At 40.2% G+C, this 19,645-nt stretch overlaps 1 protein-coding gene across 17 annotated transcripts in view; it reads right to left on the bottom strand.

The window, feature by feature from the left end:
- The window catches only part of PCBP3 (poly(rC) binding protein 3), a 298,726-nt gene that overhangs the window by 208,920 nt on the left and 70,161 nt on the right, over nt 1-19,645 (bottom strand).

The following is a 19,645-nucleotide window of genomic DNA, read 5'->3' as shown; positions in this document are numbered from 1 at the left end:
TCATGAGGTCAGGAGATCGAGACCATCCTGGCTAACACAGTGAAACCCCGTCTGTACCAAAAATACACACAAAAAAATTAGCCAGGCATGATGGCGGGCGCCTGTAGTCCCAGCTACTTGGGAGGCTGAGGCAGGAGAATGGCGTGAACCCAGGAGGTGGAGCTTGCAGTGAGCCGAGATGGCACCACTGCACTCCAGCCTGGGCGACAGAGCGAATCCATCTCAAAAAATAAATACATAAATAAATAAAACATCTATCATAAATACATTGTATATGTAGAAGATGATACAGGAAAGCATAAAATGCTAAGGAGAGACAAGAAAAGTATTTTTAAAACACACAAATCAAGCATGCAGAGATGAAAAATACATCTGAGATTTAAAAAAATATACTGACTGGGATTAACACCATATTAGACCACAAAAGAAAAGATCAGTCAATGTACAGACAGAATAATCTGTGCAGACAGAAACTACCTAAAATAAAACACAGATAAAGATTCTCTACTCCCAAAAGACAAAAATATATGTGTAATTGGAGACCCAGAAGCAGGGGATGGGACAAGCCAAAAACATATTTTAAAAAATAATGACAAAAGGCAGGGCAGAGTGGCTCAAGCCTGTAATCCCAGCACTCTGAGAGCCCAGGAGTTTGAGACCAGCCTGGACAACACAGTGAGACTCCATCTATACAAAAACATTTTTAAAATCAGCCAGGCATGGTGGCACACACCTGTAGTCCAGCTACTCAGGAGGCTGAGGTTGGAGGATTACCTGAGCCCAGGAATTCAAGTCTACTCTGAACTGTGATTGCATCACTGCACTCCAGCCTGGGTGACAGAACGAGGCCTTGTCTCTAAAACAGACAAAAAAAATTACAAAAAGTTTTCAAAAATGGATGAAAATTTAAGCCCATACATAGATTCAGAAAGGTCAACAATCCCCAACCACAAATAAATAAATAAATAAATAACATTAAACTAAACCAAGGCACGTCATAATCAAATTATGTAAAAAAAAAAAAAATCGTAAAGGCAGCCAGTAAAAAAGAAACATTATGGCAAGAGCAGCTAAAATCTACTCATTTGCTGCTCTTGCCACAGAAAAACAAAACAAATCAAAACTGGGTACCTATGTGAGATGATGGGTATGTTAATTTGCTTCACTACAGGAACCTTTTTATTATCTGTATTTTATAACATTATATTGTGTACCTTAGATATACACAATATAATTAATTTTTTAAAATAGGAAACTATGTACAAAGAGACAAGCACAGACAGGGTGAACAGAGAACTTTTCAGAAACAGTGCAAGTCAGGAGCCAATTGAATTCTATCTCTAAAGTAATGAAAGAAAAGGCTACCAACCTGGAATACTATACATAGTAAAAATAACTTTCAAATATAAAAGTAAAAAGAAGATTTTTTCTAACAAACAAAAGCTAAAATAATTCATTATCCAACATACCTGAACTGCAAATAATATTAAAAGAAGTACAAAACACAAAAGGAAAATAATACCAGAAGGAAATCTGGATCTACAAAAAGAAGTGAAAACCATTGAAACAGAAAATATGTAAAATATAAAAGCCTTTTGTTCTTAATTTTTTAAGATTGCTTTCAAAGATAATAGACTATGTAAAGCAAAAGAAAAAAAAAAGGCAATGCATTGTGGGGCTTATGACAATATCGAAGTGAGGAGATAAGGGCATAATGTAATAGCCAGAAGTGAGAGGGTATACTTTGGTAATGTTCTTACATTATATGTGAACTGGTATGATATTACTTGCAGATGACTATGGTAGCTTAAGGAAATATACAACAAATCCTAAAGCAACCTCTGAAAACACAGAGATAAAGCTAATAAGCTGCAACCCAATGTCCTCAGGTTTTCAGGCATATACTGTAAAAAGTATCCACTTTAACTGTTGCATCTTGAGTTGTTGTTTAAGAAAAGTTCCAGGAAGAAGCCCAGTGCTGGTGAAACAAAAGCCAGTTAGATCCAGAGAGGCCTCAGTTGGAGATGAACTTTGGCAAACTCTCCTCATTACCACACTAAAAACTCCGCCCAGAGAAGAGCTTATTTGCCATCTTGTATACCTGTGATGTATGTAGAAGCATGACTGACAACTGTGCCTGTGCTGCCTTGACTGTACCTTCTACACACAATGATTCAGCTAACGAGCCTAAAAACGGTGTTTTCAGCGTTGTTCAGGGAGGCGTTGCTTTGGAGATTTATCCCTGGTGTCCTCCTTACTTGCTGCAATTTTAGATTCCCTTGTTAAATCCTCCTTGGTTGAGCTCATTGTACTATTGGTGGCCAAGCAATTGAACCCACCCATTGTGTGGGCAACAAAGCTAGTAAAGGTAATAAAACTGATCATAGAAAGTACTCAATCCAAAATAAAGGAGAATGAGAGAAAAAAGGGGACTCTAATAACAAGTGGGAAAAATAGAAATCCAACAGCAAAATGACAGATTTATACCCAACCATATCAATAATCACATTAAATATGAATGGTCTCAACATCCCAATTAAAATGTACCTTTTAAGACTTGATAAAAAAACAAGACCACGCTATAAGCTATTTGTAAGAAACCCACTTTAAATATAAACATACACAGAGGTTAAAAGAAAAAGGATGGGAAAAAATGTGACATGTTAACTCTAATAAAAAAAAGGTGGAGTGACTATCTTAATATCAGAAAAAGTAGATTTCAGGGTACATAATATTACCACAAGTAAATAAGGACATTATATAATAATTAAGGGGTCAGTTTATCAAGAGAAAATAATAACCCTAAACGTTCACACACCTAATAAAGAGCTTAAAAATATATAAAGCAACCCCCCACCAAATAGATAAATCCACAATTATAATGGAAGCTTTCTACACTTCTCTTTCAATAACTGATTTTGTAAAAACCTACACAGAAGATCAGTACGGGATATAGGAGACTCAAATAACATTATCATCCAACATTATTTAACTGACATTTATAGAACACTCCACACAATTATAACAGAATATGCCTTCTTTTCAAGTGGTCATGAGATATTTTCAAAGGTAATATTCTGAAAATTTTTTTTAAATTTCAATAAAACTGTAAAGGAATAAAAAAAATGTTTCCTGACCACAATGGAATTAAATTAGAAATCAATTAAATTAGAAAACAGGAACAAAAAAGTATTTGGGAAGTTTTCCAAATACTTGGAAAATAAACAGCACATGTCTAAATAACATATGGGTCAAAGAAAAAACACAATGGAAATAAGAAAGCATTTTGACCTGAATAAAAATGAAAACACTACATATCAAAATATGTGGGAGGCAGTAAAAGCAGTACCAAGAGGGAAATCAACAGCACTAAATGATTATATTAGGGAAATAAAAGGTCTCAAATCCATTACCTAAGCTTACTAAAACAGAGCAAAACAAGCAGAAGAAAGGAAATAAAGAATAAAAATCTATAAGCTGAAAAGCCATTTTAAAAATACTTGCTTCAGGAGACTAAAGTGGGAAGATCACTTGAAGCCAGGAGTTTGAGACCAGCCTGGGCAACATAGCAAGACCTACTCTCTACAAAAAAATTTTTTTACATTAACCAGGCATGGTAGATGGTGGAACATCCCTGTAATCCTAGCTACTTGAGAGGCAGAGGCAGGAAGATCACGTGAGCCAAGAAGTTCAAGGTTACAGAGCAAGCCTCTGTCTCTAAAAATATATAAATAGAAGTAAAAAATACAGAAAATTAATAAAACCGAAAGTTGGTTCTTTAATAAGGCACATAATATTGATAAATATCTAGTTGCACTGACCAAGAAAAAAGGTAGAAGGCCCAAATTACCAATATCAAGAATGAGAAATAGAACATTATACAGACACAAAAGATATTATGAAGACAATTAGGTCAAACCACAATGTGATACCACTTCACACCAGAATGGCTATAATCAAAAAAGTCTAACAGAAGTGTTGGTGAGGACCTGGAGAAACAGGCAACCTCATACATCGCTGGTGGAAATGAAAAATGGTGCTGCTAGGGTGGAAAACAGTCTGGCAGTTCCTCAAAAAGTTAAACATAGAATCACCATAGGACAGCAACTCCCCTCCTAGGTACAGACCCAAAAGAATTAAAAATACACATGTAAGCAGATACTTGTTCATAACAGTGCTATTCATAATAGCCAACACGGGGAAACAACCCAAATGTCCATCAGCAAATGAATGGATAAACACATCTGGTACAGGCATCAGTGGAGTATTCTGCAGACATCAAAAGGAATGAAGTACAGCACGTGTTACAGATGAACCTCCAAGCGGGGCTAAGTGAAAGAACCCAGACGTAAAAGGTTATATATTGCATTATTTCTTCAGATGAAATATCTAGAACAGGCAAGTCCATAGAGACAAAAAGCAGGTTAGTGGTTTCCAGGGCATAAGGACAGGGGGAGACCAGGAGTGATTACTTAATGGGTGGGAGGTATTCCTTCGTGGTAACAAAAAAGTTTTGAAAAAGTCTTGAAACTGGGTACTGGTTGTACAACATTCTGAATGCACCAAATTGTACACTTTAATTTGGTGTACTTTAATTGCATTTTAAGTGCACTTTAATTGCATTTTAAGTGAATTTCACCTCAATAAATAAATAAATACAATAAGCGGATGCTATGAACTACTGCATGTCAGTAAATCTGCTAACTTAGATGGAGCAAGTTCTTACAAGAATCAAATAATCAAAACTCACTTAAGGAGAATTAAATAATCCTATATACATACCAAAGAAACTGCATTCAAGATAAAACCTTCCCACAAAGAAAAGTGCTGACCGAGATGACTTTGCAGGTGAATTCTATAAAATAAAATATACAAGGAAGAAATAATATCAATTTCTTACTAACTCATCTAGAAAACTGAAGATGAGAGAATACTTCCCAATTCATTCTATAAGGCAAGCATTAACATGATAAAAAATCAGAAAAATACACATAAGAAAAGACATCAATATTCCTCAGAAATATAGATGCCAAAATTCTTAAATTTTAGCATATAAAAATCCAACAATATAAAATAAATACATGCAGATAAAGTGGGTTTTAACCCAGAAATGCAACTGGCTTACTATTGTTTTTTAAAGCTATCAATGTAATTCACCATATAAACAAAAAAGAAACACCATATGATCATCTCAATAGATACAGAGAAAACATTTGACAAAATTCAGTATTAACTCATGATAAAAATCCTCAGCAACCTGGGAATTTAAGGACTCTTTCTGAACCTGATAAAGGACCTCCAGTTGAAACATACAGCTAGCAGTATACACAAGGGTGAAAACTGAATGTTTACCCCTAAATTCAGGAACAAAGTTAGACCGTACCCTCCAAGCACTTCCTTTAACAAGATACCAACCTCCACAAGTGATCTATCAATTCAGTGCAACCCCAACCAAAAGCTGAACTAATCTAATTCTAGAATTTGTATGAAGATACCGAGGAAATAAACCAGCCAAAGAACTTTGAAAAAGAGAACAAAATGGGAGGGCTTATACTGCCCGATTTCAAGATTTATTATAAAGCTAGTTATAAAGATAAATAAATTGACCCATGGAATAGAATACAGTCCAGAAATAGTCTGCACACAGTATTAACCATGTTTTTCCTTTTCTGTGTCTGATGCTTTGACATCCAGGGCTTGCTGACCTGGAGGGACTGCCCTCCCAGCGTTAGCCAATTCCTAGAAATAGCAAACAACCCATCCTGGAGTGTACCTTTCAAATACAAACCCACCAATCCAGAGCCCACACCCCAACCACCTCCTCTCACATGGGGCCACTCCCCACCTGCCCCAATCACCCAAGGCCAGGCACCAGACAACTAGGGACAGACCCTACACCCAAGGGCCTGCTGAAATGATTCAAAGTGCCACTCCTAAGCCTGCTCCCCCTGCCTCACCCATTCCTCCTGTGGAGACCACAGTGAGGCTTTCCCTGCCCACATTGTCCCCTTGCTCTCTCTGCCTCTTGACCTACCCGGTGCTTCCCATGTGGCCCTGCCTGGCAGCCGTGCTCCTGCTTCCAGGGAGCTGTGGGTACAAACACTTTCTTCCTTCATGACAGTCATTTCTATGTCTCATGTCTTAGCACACTGTATTAAAACAAATCCCAGATATCCTGAAAACACACACATATGAACAAGTGATTTTGACAAAGCTTCCCAGGCAACTTAATGAGGAACAGATAATCTTTTCAAGAAATGGTGCTGGAACAACTGGACATTGTATTTTTAAAAACAAGAAAAATAAGAACCTTGACATTTTCTTTGCATCCAATATAGAGTTAATTCAAAATGGATCATAGACTTAAATGTAATAGTCAAAACTATAAAGCTTATAGAAGAATGAATAAGATAAAATCTTAAAGACCTTCAATTTAACAAAGAATTCTTAAGCATGATACAAAAGGCATGAACTACAAAAGAAAAAACTGATGTTGGAGGTTACCAAATTTTAAAACTTTTCATCTTCAAGTCACTGTTATAAAAATGAAAAGTCAGGCTACAGACTGAGAGAAAATATTTGCAAAACACATACCCCATAAAAGACTGTATCCAGAATATATACAGAAAAAATTCTCAAAGCTCAATAAGAAAATAAACAACCCAGTTTTTAAAATGAGCAAAATATTTGATCAGGTACTTCAAAGAAAATATACAGATGGCAAATAAGCACATGAAAAGACGATCTGGCCAGGAAAGCAGAACGCATGCTTTCCAGACCAGCCAGGCCAGCCATGGGAGCCACACGCGGGTCACTGTCCTCCACATCCTGAATGCCGTGGTGGAAGACACTGGAAACACAGGCAGGCCTCAGGCGGGAGACACAAACATCAGGGAAGGTTGGCACTGTCTGCGACACAGGGACAGATGGACAGGCCTGGCGGGATCATGGGCCTGCAACCCACTGACAGGGGAAAGCAGGGATGGGGCATGTGAGCAGGGCGGGTCAGGATGCTGCCAACGCTCCTTGAGCACACAGAGATCTGGGGCATGAGCACCCAGGATAGAGTGGAGCAAGCCCCACCTGGAGTTCCAACCACACCAGTCTCTTCTGGGCTCCAGCCACAGGCCCCTGGGTGTTGGGCCTGGACCTCTGCTCCTCTCCCCTAGATGAGCCCACCCAGTCCATAGCCATGCTCTCTTTCTCTGCTGATAATTTCCTAAATTAATCTCCTTGCCCCTGCTCTCCCCCATGAACTCCCATATCCACTGCCTACCTGGCCAAGCCACTTGGACATCTGTTACCTGAAGTCCAAGACCAAATCCTTAACCCCTCCTACCTTGGACCTGACCCTCCCCACGTCATCCTGCCTGAGTTGCTCAGGCCCCTCGGAGTCAGGTCTGAGTCCTCCTTCCAGTCCCATTGGCAGCCTCGGCACGCACCACATCTCAGCAGGCCTAACCACACTGCCTGGGCACCTGCAGCCTCCGTACCAAACCTGCACCCCAGTGCCTTCCCGACAGCCAGGGCGAGCCTCTGCAGTGGGGCCTGGGGCCATGCTGTCCACTGCCCTGAGGGTGACACCTGACCTCCTAGAGGGGGCCTGCTCTCCTGACCTCATCTCCTGCACTGGCTTCCTCACCCCAGCTGCCCCCCACCCCTTCCTTTCCTCCATCAGGTCTTTGCTCCATGCACGCCTCCTGCCTAGACACATGCCTGGCTCCCCCCTGCCACCCAGTTCCAACACCTCCTCCTCCGAAAGTCCTCCCTTGCCCACCCTCCAGGCAGCCCCTCAGCCACTCCTGCTCAGCCTCCCTGCTCTCCATGTAGCATGTGCCTGCTGTGTTTGTAAGTCACTTTCTTTGGTTGTGGGCCCTCCCTCCACCCACCAGAAATAAGCTCCATGGTGGTAAGAACCCTGCCTGTGTGTCCCCTGCCACTCTGAGACCGGGAAGAGCACTGTGGAGGCAGGCCCCCAGCAGAGGCTTAATGGAGAGAGGACAGGCAGGCACTGCCCCCACAGTCTTCTCCCTAAGTGGCAGGGCCTGAAGGAGAATGGGTTGTTAAGGATAAGCTTGCTGCGAGGCCCAGGGCATCTGTGCCTCCACATCTGTGGGCATTCTTCCTTTTCTAAAAATCACAGAATGAAGTTAAGATTTATTGGACAAGGGAAAGGGAAAACCCTGTACCTACCACAGGATACTTGTAATTCAATTAATCAGAAAAAAAACCACCATCAGAAACCATCTGCTCAGAGGTCATCTGCTCAGAGGTCATCTGCTCAGAGGTCAGGGCACTTCCCAAGCGCAGGCAGCAGGTGGAAGCTACCACAGACCACACCCAGCCAACGCACCGCAGCCCAGGGCCCAGGCTCTGGCATTGCCACTGGTTTGCAAACACATCCTAGCATCGCAGGGGAAATCACACAGCCACGACAGAATTTCTTCATAAGAAAGATATTTTTAAAACACGGCCAGTAATAAGGCAAAAAAAAACCCAAGCAAAATGTTACACCTTCTGCAGATTTAACCATGATACAAACTGCCATACTTAACGGCTCACAACAGTTTATTTGAGCTATTATCTGTAACTTTCATCATTTAAGTTATAGAGGAAGTTCATGGAATACTGTAGTATCCCAATGACAGCATCTCCTGAGAGTCAGTGCCTCCCTCACAGAGAGGCCGTCCTGTCCTCCTGCCACCCACTTTCTCAGACCAGAGCAGCCTCACGGCCCAACAGCCTGAAAACAACAGCCAACAGAGTGCCACTCCAGCTGAGGGGGGGCGGGTTACAGAGTGCCACTCCAGCTGAGGGGGGCGGGTTCTCTTTCAGATCCCACCGAGGCACCCCACCCTTGCTGTTCCCCATCACTGCCCACAAATCTACACGTCTCACACCGCTTCTCATTCTCACACTTACAGTGACACCGCTAACACCTCAAATCAGTTTTAATGTTCGTGTTACAGAGCAGCCTGGCCCGCCACCATGAAGGCAGCGAGATTCCCAGCTGTCCCCACCTCGCTTGGCAGGGGCAGGGCTGGGACTCCTTCCAACATGCAGTGTTGGCTTCTGGGGCTGCCCCGTTGGGAGAGGATGAACAAGCAGAGAGCAGAAAGCAGCAGGGAGTGTGGGCAGCCCCCATGCACCACCCTGTGGAGTGTTTTAGCCCACCACTTCCAAAGACTGCATTCTCATAACTCAGGGTAACACCGGGAGGGGGCGGGGTGGGTCACAGCTGGACACCCCTGGAAATGCAGCTCCTAGGAATTTGCTCATAGGTTCCATTTTCGATAAATGTGTTAATAGGAGCTCAGACTTCAACAGATCTCAATAAAGGAAAATGAGCAAATGCTATGTTTTTACCTAAAACCTAAATAGGCCACAGGAAGGATCTGACTTCAGGAGGGGGACAGCCTTGACTCTGAATTTCTCCAGATCTGGGGGAGAGAGTGTCTCATTAACTTACCCCCTCCAGGTGAGTGAATTGAGAGTTTTACAGTGCCAACAAGAAGCAGGATGTGGGGGAGCTAGAATTTAAAACAGCTTATGCTGGAGGAGGACGGGCAAGGAAGATTCAACTTAATTCCTATCACAGAATCCACCAGTAATCACCATTTCTATTATAAATAATTACCACTCTCGGTGATGGTCTCAGCGGAAAAAGAAGGAAGCAGTCAGCAGGTGAACTTCTTTACTCCTCCACCTCAAAAGTGGCATGGCCATGACATGACTGACAAGGCCAGGGAATGCAGATCCCACAGACCCTGAGCTCGACCCCGGGCCTGGCATCCAACCTGCGTGTTGTGCGGGCTGTGCTCCCTTGCTGGGACAGCAGCCCCTTCCCTCCTTCCAGACACTCAGTATCTGCCCACAATGTGTACTTTTCATTTCACTTTCATATCTAAGATAGATCATACTTCAGGTATGTGTCAATATAGATACATATACCCATGTTTCAATCTTACAAAATTACACTGATGGGCTTTACTCACTATCAACTTGTAATGATTTACGAAATGATTTTTGTTTCAATGTCAGTTAGTACATGAACTTATTAAAATTTTAAAATTCACTATTTTTACTTAACCCTTTTCTGAATGGGTCACTCTCATTATCAGAACTAGACATAGGAAGTCTGTCTGGCCTCTCACCAGGGTAGTGAAGTTGCCTAAAATATATCTGCTAGACTCTCTAGACAACTGCCCATATGATCACCAATCCCTGATGGAGAATTAGTTCTTCAGAGGCCTGCCCCAGAGCCTCCCTCGAGAGCAGGCCACTAGGCCGCAGACGGCAGGCCATGTGCTCAGAGCCACTCTCTAGGATGCCTATGTGTCCCCTGGTTGCCAAACACATGCCAGCTCTCTGTGCAGAAAGCTGGAAAGAACAGAAAAGTGCAAAAAACATCTGTAAAAGCACCTGCACTTCCCAGATAGAAACAATGATAGCAGTAGAGTGTATTTTCTTCTAGTACTTTCTCATTATTACATTTACCTATATACATTTTTTTTTTTTGAGACGGGTCTTGCTGGGTCATCCAGGCTGGAGTGCAGTGGTGCGCTATCAGCTCACTGCAACCTCCACCTCCCGGGTTCAAGTGATTCTCCTGCCTCAGCCTCCCAAGCAGCTTGGGACTACAGGTGAACGCCACCACGCCCAGCTAATTTTTGTTTTTTTTTAATATTTTCAGTAGAGACGATGTTTCACCGTTGTTAGCCAGGATGGTCTCAATCTCCTGACCTCATGATCCACCCCCACTTGGCCTCCCAAAGTGCTGGGATTACAGACGTGAGCCACTGTGCCCGGCTACATTTACCTATATACATTTTTAAAACAAAAATGAGATCACATTTTTGCTAAGAAAGTGTAGTAAATCTGTATCTGTAGTATTTGTAGAAAATATTTATAACAGCTTGTTTTTAGCCTTTTAACAATATTTGTTAATAGTCAAAGAAATTTGTCTATGAAAATCTCTATTATTTAAGATTGTATGGATTGCTTTTATGCTTAAAAAAAAACTTCTGCATTTCAAAGATCAGGTTAATATTCACATAATTCTTCTCCAACAATAAAAATAGATATTATTTATCCTATGAGCATAAAAGTGATATACATTCATTTAGGAAAACTTAGAAAATTCAGAAATGTGTGAAAACAAATAGCAGAGTGACCTCAGCTCTCAGAGACAGGTGCTGTAAGCCTTTGGTTGTACTTCTACACACACATACACATGCAAACATATATCCACTTACATTTTATGTCACATAGGCCATTTTTACATACATTACTGACTTAGGTGCCAGTATACTGGGTACATTTTTTTCATGTCATGGATCATTCCTATAAACGCTAATTGCTTTCTAATATCTCATTGTGTTGTGAAGTACAATAACTGATTTACTAAATCCTTTATTACTGGGTATTTGGGTTGCTTCCAATTGTTAATTATTTAAATTACTGCTGTAGTGAACATACTCTGTACATAAATTTAGTGCTTATCCGATTATCTCCTGAAGATAAAGCCGTAAGAACAGAATTTTCAGCCAAAGTGCATAAATATTTTTAGAGCTTCTCATATACTTGAACAAAGAGCCCCCAGAAGCTTGCTTCCCTACAGTAGTCCTCTGAGACACGCAAAGTGACTCCAGTTTCTGTGATTTCTTGCCAAAATTCTATCTTATCAGCCTTCTCAAAATACATGCAGATGAGATCGTCAAAGAACAATGCACATACATTTGCTTCATCAACAGTAAGACTCAGTCCCCTCCCTGTCTATGGACCTCTGTGAAATTCGACAGGAAAGTGACAAAGTGGACCAAATGGAGCACACGGAGAATGAAAATAAAGTGGTACCAGTAGCTTCTGGCCAAAGCTCAACAAATTTAAGCAAATACATTTAGATAAGAAATTCTGGTGTCTTTAATATTAGAATAACTTTAAAATGAACCTAATAATAAGTCATTTAATAATAATTAAATTGGGGTCAGGAGCTGTGGAAATCATTGTGAACTCGAGGCCACAAAAGGTTTATTTCCAATTCTCTCACCAAAAGTGGTCTCCTCAAATACTCACGGTCAGCCCTGCAGCCAAGAGTTGTTTTTTTTTTTTTTTTTTTGAGATGGAGTCTTACTCCGTCGCCTAGGCTGGAGTGCAGTGGCGCGATCTTGGCTCACTGTAACCTCCACCTCCTGGGTTCAAGCGATTCTTATGCCTCAGCCTCCCGAGTAGCTGGGACTACAGGCACCCGCCACCATGCCTGGCTAATTTTTGTATTTTTAGTAGAGATGGGGTTTCGCCACATTGGCCAGGCTGGTCTCAAACTCCTGGCCTCAAGTGATCCTACTGCCTTGGCCTCCCAAAGTGCTGGGATTACAGGCATGAGCCACTGCACCTGGCCTCAAATACAACTTTCTAAACATGCAAAAATTTTTGGCCAAGTAGCTGCTTCCGCAACTTGAGGCAAGAAAAAATCAGAGGGCCTGACACACAGAATGTTCTGACCAGAAAGCAAGGTACCTTCAAACATCTGGGGCAGCACAGGGCAGCACAAAGTGGCAGCTGAAAGGGCCCCCACACCCAGCCAAGCTATGGCCATCCTGGCATTGGAGAGAATAAGTAATATTCTTGTTTAAGTTTGAAGCAGGAGCTCACGTTGAAGTCAAGGTCCAAATCATCTTAGAACATGCAACCAAGTCACCTGTCCCAGACTAACTGGTCTAAAACATGAAGCCTGCACCCTCCTGGTCAGTGTGCAAGTGCTGAGCTGCTGGACGTTATCTGCACCAGAGAGGTAAGAGAAGCATCTGTCAAAACCATTGCAACCCTACAAGAGTAAAGGTACAGAGGTGATGGAGAATTAAACTACAGTGAAGGTGTTTTCAAAACTCCAAATGTAGTAATAAATTTTACAATTATTGTATTTGTGAATACTTTTACTGCTAAGGCATTTAAAAGAATAATTTACTCACACTGCTTAAATTGTTTTTAAAAATTGATTCTTTTTTTATTACTTTTTTATTATACTCAAGTTCTGAGATATATGTGCAGAACATGCAGGTTTGATAGACTGGATAAAGAAAATGTGGCACATATATACCATGGAATACTATGCAGCCATAAAAAAGAATGAGTTCATGTCCTTTGCAGGGACATGGATGAAGCTGGAAACCATCATTCTCAGCAAACTAACACAGGAACAGAAAACCAAACACTGCATGTTCTCACTCATAAGTGGGAGTTGAACAATGAGAACATATAGGCACAGGGAGGGGAACATCACACACTGGGGCCTGTCAGGGGGTCGGGGGTAAGGGGAGGGATAGCATTAGGAGAAATACCTGATGTAGATGACAGGTTGATGGGTGCAGCAAACCACCATGGCAGACGTATACCTATGTAACAAACCTGCATGTTCTGCACATGTATCCCAGAACTCGAGTATAATATTTTTAACATATTGAGCCCTAAATAAAGTACAAGCAGCACTGAGTATTCCTCTTTAGGCATAAAGGACTGGTGGATGTTAAAGACCTTTGCAATTGTCCTGCTGGCTTATCTCTGGCAAGTCATCTGGAGGTGCCTTCTCTACTTGTCCCTCAGGCCAGAACAGGTTTCCACTTCCTCTTACTGACCCTGGAATTTGGTGGGTAATGATTTTGCCTATAGAGGTTCAAAAATCTGGCAATCTTTTAGTTTCCAGATTTGGTGTTCATGACTTAGTATGTGTATTAGTCCATTCTCACACTGCTATGAAGAAATACCTGAGACTGGGTAATTTATAAAGAAAAGAAGTTTAATTGACTCACAGTTCCACAATGCTGGGGAGGCCTCAGGAAACTTACAATCACGGCAGAAGGCAAAGGAGAAGCAGGCACCTTCTTAACAGAGTGGCAGGATGGAGAAGTGCCAGATGCTTATAAAACCATCAGATCTCGTGAGACTCACTCACTATCACGAGAACAGCATGGGGAAAATCACCCCCATGATCCAGTTACCTCCACCTGGTCCTGCCCTTGACATGTGTGGATTTTGGGTAATGGAGATTACAATTCAAGATGAGATCTGAGTGAGGACACAAAGCCTAACCATATCAGTATGTCTTGGAGAAGACACACTAAAAACCCTCTGCACACATTTCCTGCCACCGGGTATGGCTTGTTCTCACTTCTCAGTTCCTCAGTTGTCTTCTTTTAACTCTCTCAGTGATGGCCCCTCTAGCCTCCCTGAGAACACTTGCTGTTCTGTCCTTCATCCCCAAGAGCGGCCCCAAGTCACTCGCATCCACTGAGAAGCCCCTTCCCAAACTGCCTCAGCTCTAATTCTGAGGTAAAGCCAACCTTATTGCAGGGTGAGGATTACGAACGGTCAGCCAGATACAGCTGAGCTAATCACACAACATGGCTTGTTCCCCGAATTCAGCCAGGCCAGGGTTAACCCAAGACGGAAATTTCTCACACACTGACCTCCCGTCCCATTAGCTGGGCTCTAGATTTGCTGCTTGGCCCTGCTTAGCACAAGTCCCACACTGTTTCCACTCCTTTATTTTACAGAGCATCTTGATATCAGATGAATAGGCAGCTCTCCACTGCTGTTCTTTTCCAAACTGTTGGCCAGTCTTATGCTTTTATCCCCTTGTGACATTTAGAAGCCATTCATCAATTTTCATAAAATATCCTGTGGCAATCACATTCATTTTTTGAAAAGTGTTCATTATAAAACATAGGACGCAGATGGCATCTGTGAGAATGGCAGAGTAATAACCACTAACAGCTTACCTCTCCATAAAAGCAATGAGAACCCTGGCAAAATTGTCACAATTAACTTTTTAAGAGCTCTGGAAATTCATCAAAGGCTTGCAGCAATCCAAGGATCACTGATTCAAGAAAAACAACTGGACCTTGGTAAGAACAGTGAGCATTGTGGCATTTTAACTTACCCTACTTCCATCCCCTTCCCCCGAGCTGCATCCAAGCCTTGAAAACCAAGAGCCCAGCAATCAATGAGAACCAGCAGCCTGGCTGGCATGGAAGCGGCAGAACAGGACAGGAGTCTTTCGAAGCTGTAAACACCTACCTTTAAAAAAGAGGCAAGATCTCAATTCGATAACCTAAACTTCCATCTTAAGAAATTAGTAAAACAAGAGAAAACTAAACCCAAAGCAAGCAGAAGGAAGGAAACAACAAATACTATGGCAACAAGAAACTAAATAGAAATAGAAATTAAATAGAAATTAAACAGAATAGAAAACAAAACCAAAAGTTAGTTTCTTGAAAAGATCAAAAAATTGACAAATCTTCACCTAGACTAGCAAAAAAAAAAAAGGAGAGAAGACTCAAATTATTAAAATTAGGAATGAAAGAGGAGACATCACAACCAACCTTGCAGAAATAAAAAGGATTATAAGAAAATACTATAAACAATTTTATATCAACAAAAAGCCTAGATGAACAAATTCCTAGAAACACACAGAAACTACAGAAACTGACTCTAGATAAAAGAGAAATCTGAACAAACCTAAAACAAGTGAAGAGGTTTAGTAACCAAAAAACTTTCCACAAGGAAAAGTCCAGGATCAGATGGCATTACTACCGTATTCTGCCAAACATTTAAGTAAGAATTAACAACAACCCCTCACAAACTCTTTCAAAATTACAGACAAGAAAAGGATACTTCCCAACTCATTTTATGAGGCCAGTATTAGCCCAATACCAAACCCAAACAAAGACATCAAGAGAAAACCAAAGACCAATGTCTCTTATGAATACACATGTAAAACATCACAACAAAAATATTAGCAAACCAAATCTAACAATATATAAAAAAGATTACACACTATAATCAAGTGGGGTTTATCCCCAAAATGCAAAGTTGGCTTAATATCCAAAAATCGATCAATGCAATACATCATATTAATGGAATAAAGGACAAAAACCACATGATCATCTCAGTAGACACAGAAAAAGCATTTGACAAATTTCAATATATCTAATGATAAAAACACTCAAAAAAACTAGGAATAAAAGGAAGCTTTATTAACTTAATAATGGATATCTATGAAAAACTCGCAGCTAACATCATGAACAATAGTAAAAGATTGAAAGCTTTTCCCCTAAGATGAGAAACAGGACAAGGATGCCTGCCCTTGCCAGTACAATCAACGCTGTATTGGAGGTTTTAGCCAGGACAATTAGGCAAGAAAAAGAAATACAGGGCATCCAGACTGAAAAGGAAAAATACAAATATCTCTATTTGGAGATGACATGATATTGTATATAGAAAATACTAAGAAATCCACTAAAAAACTAGTATAATAAAGTTCAACAAGGTGGCAGGGATCAATATACAAAAAGTAATTGTATTTCTGTACACTAGCAATGAACAATCCAAAAATAAAATTTTAAAAAATCCATTCGTAATAGCAGCAAAAATAATAAAAAACTTAGGAATAGATTTAATTTTTTAAAAATGCAAGACTTATACACCAAAAACTACAAGAAAGGGAAAGGAATTAAACAAAACCTAAATAAATAGAAAAACATCCTATGTTCAATGTAATATTATTAAGATGGCAATATGTCCTAAACTAATCTACAAATTCAATGCAATCTCTATAAAAATCCCAGCCAACTTTCTGACAGAAATTGACAAGCTGATTCTAAAATTCATATGAAAACTCAAGGGACTCAGAATAGCCAAAACAATCTTAAAAAAGAAAAACAAAGTCAGAAGACTCACATTTCCCAATTTGAAAACTTACTACAAAGCTACAGCACTCAATACATTGTCATATGGGCATGTTCTGGACTGAACTGTATCCCCACAAAACCCATGTGTTGAAGACCTAATCCCCCAAATCACTATATTTAAACACAGGGATTTTAAAGAGGTATTAATAATTAGGATTAAATGAGATCATAAGGGTGGGGCCCTAATCCAAAAGAACTAGTGTCCTTACAAGAAGAGGACTGGTATCCTTACAGCAAAAGAACAGTGAAGACACAGCAAGAAGATGTCATCTCCAAACCAAGGAGAGAGTCCCCAGAAGAAACCAAAGCTGCCAACACTTTGATTTTAGACCTCTGGCTTCTAAAACTATGAGAAAATACATTTCTGCTGTTTAAACCATTCAGTGTAGTATGTTGTTATGGCAGCCCTAGCAGACTAATTCAGGGTATAATGATGTAGATATATTCTCTCTCCCTCCCCATATATAGATATGGAAATCAACAAATTAACCCTTACATTTATAGTCAACTGGTTTTGACTAAGACTGCCAAGACAATTCAATGGAGAAACACTATTCATTTTAATAATTGTCCCAGTGTGCTGGGACAATTGAATATCCACATGCTAAAGAATGAATCTGGAACCCTATTTCATACTATATACGAAAATTAATTCAAAATGAATCAAAGACCTAAGGACTAAACCTATTGAAGCTCTTAGAATAAAACGTGAAAAATATGAAAATGTGACCTTGGATTAGGCAGTGGTTTCCTAGATATGATACCAAAAGTATAAGCAATGAAAGAAAAAATAAATAAATTGGGCTTAAAATTAAAAACTTTTATGCTTGCAAGGACATGATCAAAAAAGTAAAAAGTCAACCCACAGAACAAGGGGAAAATTTGGCAAATCTAATAAGGAACTAGTATCCAGAATATAAAAAAGAATTCCTAGAACAATAAAAACATGACTCACTTAAAAAATGGGAAAATGATTTGAATACACATTTCCCCAGAAAATATATGCAAATGGCCAGTAAGCACATGAAAAGCTTTCCAACATCATCAGTCATCAGGGAAATAAATGCCAATCAAAATAACACTGATATACTACTTCACATTCACTAGAACGGTAATAATCAAAAAGACAGACAATAACAAGTGCTGGTGAAGACATGCAAAATTGTTAACACTCATAAATTGCTGGCAGGAATGCAAAATGATGCAGCCAATTTGGAAAACACTCTGGCATTTTCATTCCCATTTCTCAGGGAAGGAAAGAATGGAGAGTGACTGATAATGTACATGGGATTATTTTCAGGGTATAAAGAATGTTCTGAAATTAGTGATAATACTTACACAACTCTGTAAATATATTAATACCAAAAACTACTCACTTGTACGCTTTAATGGGTAGATTTTATGGTATGCAAATTATACCTCAATTCAAAAAATAAACATAATAGACATCGATATACTTACCAGGAAGATTAAAAAGTTGTCAACATTTTGATTTGCTTTGGATCTCTTTTAAAAATGCTTGCAGATACCACCGAAGCCCTATACTCCACTGATACCCCTCTGTATAGGAAGGAAACCATATAATCTAGAGATGGCAAATCAGTACTCACATTCACGTGTACATATCTTCACCAGCCACGTGCATATCCAAAAACAATACCAAACTGCACTTATCCTTTTGCAACCTGCTTTGTTAACACTGTTACTGAGATTTATCCATTTTGATACCCATAGATTTAATTCATTCATTTTAATGTTGAATAGTTTTTGACTATGTGAATAAAACAAATGTCCAGTTCCCCTTCCTGAGAACAGTTAAACCGTGTTTTGCTCTTACAAACACCATAGGCCCATATCCATGGGCATCCACTAGTTCTTCTAGAGCAAATGCCTGAAAATGGCATCGGTGGGTCATATTATGTGCACATTTTCAACTTTACCTGAAAACGTGCCTCCAAAATAGTCTCCAAAGTGGTTATAAAAATGTGCACTCCCAAGAGCAAGGTCCCCACATCTCACCAGTACATATTAACTGACTTCATGCCTGCCAAGCTGATGAATGTGAAATGGTATCTCACTGTTTTAATTCACATTTCATGGATTCGTCTCAAAAATGAAGTTTTCATATACTTATATCCTTTCTGGCTTCTTCAATTTGACTTGTCATTTTACAGCCTTTTATCTATTATATGCTTATTCTTTCTAGATCTTTGATATTAATCCCTTTCAAGTTATATGATTTTCAAATGTATAATCTTATCTGTAGTTTTTCCTTTAAGTCTATGAATACCTTGTAATGTGAGCTTCATCATTGTGACTCTGCATATGCATGTGTGTGTGTGTGTGTTCCCTGAAACAGGTTTCCTAGAGGATGGGACTAAGGGTTAAGAGACGTAGAACCCAGTGTGGCACCAAGGCTTTTGGCCTAAGCAACCAGAAAAAGGAGCTGTCCTGGAATGGTCAAGAGTTCAGTTTTGGACATATTCAGTCTCAAATGCTTATTAGACTTGCAAATGGAAATGTCAAATAAGCACTGAGACAAATTAGTCTGGAGTTGATGGGAGAGTCCCAGAGCAAGAGTCATCAGAGCACAGCCAGTATTTAAAGTCGAGAGAAGAGATGAGACCCCAAAGGAGTGAGGGAAATGGAGGCGCAACCAACCACGCTGAAGAGAACGAAAACACAGAGCATAGGCAGTACATTCAGAAGAGTGTGTGGGAACTACTAGCCCTTAGAGGAAAGACAAAACAAGAGGACAGAAGTGTACAACGTTTATATTCTCCCATCCCCAAAACTGAAATAAAGGAAGAACACAACTGGAGTGTGACCAAGTGGCTCTGCACATACCCCACCCCTAGCTGTCCTGGCAACAGGCCCCTTTCATAAGACAACAATAA

This window comes from Homo sapiens, chromosome 21 (genome assembly GCF_000001405.40).
Source record: "Homo sapiens chromosome 21, GRCh38.p14 Primary Assembly".
Classification (NCBI taxonomy): domain Eukaryota; kingdom Metazoa; phylum Chordata; class Mammalia; order Primates; family Hominidae; genus Homo; species Homo sapiens.
Note: the sequence above shows the minus strand (reverse complement) of the source record. Positions and strands in the feature narration are given on the sequence as shown.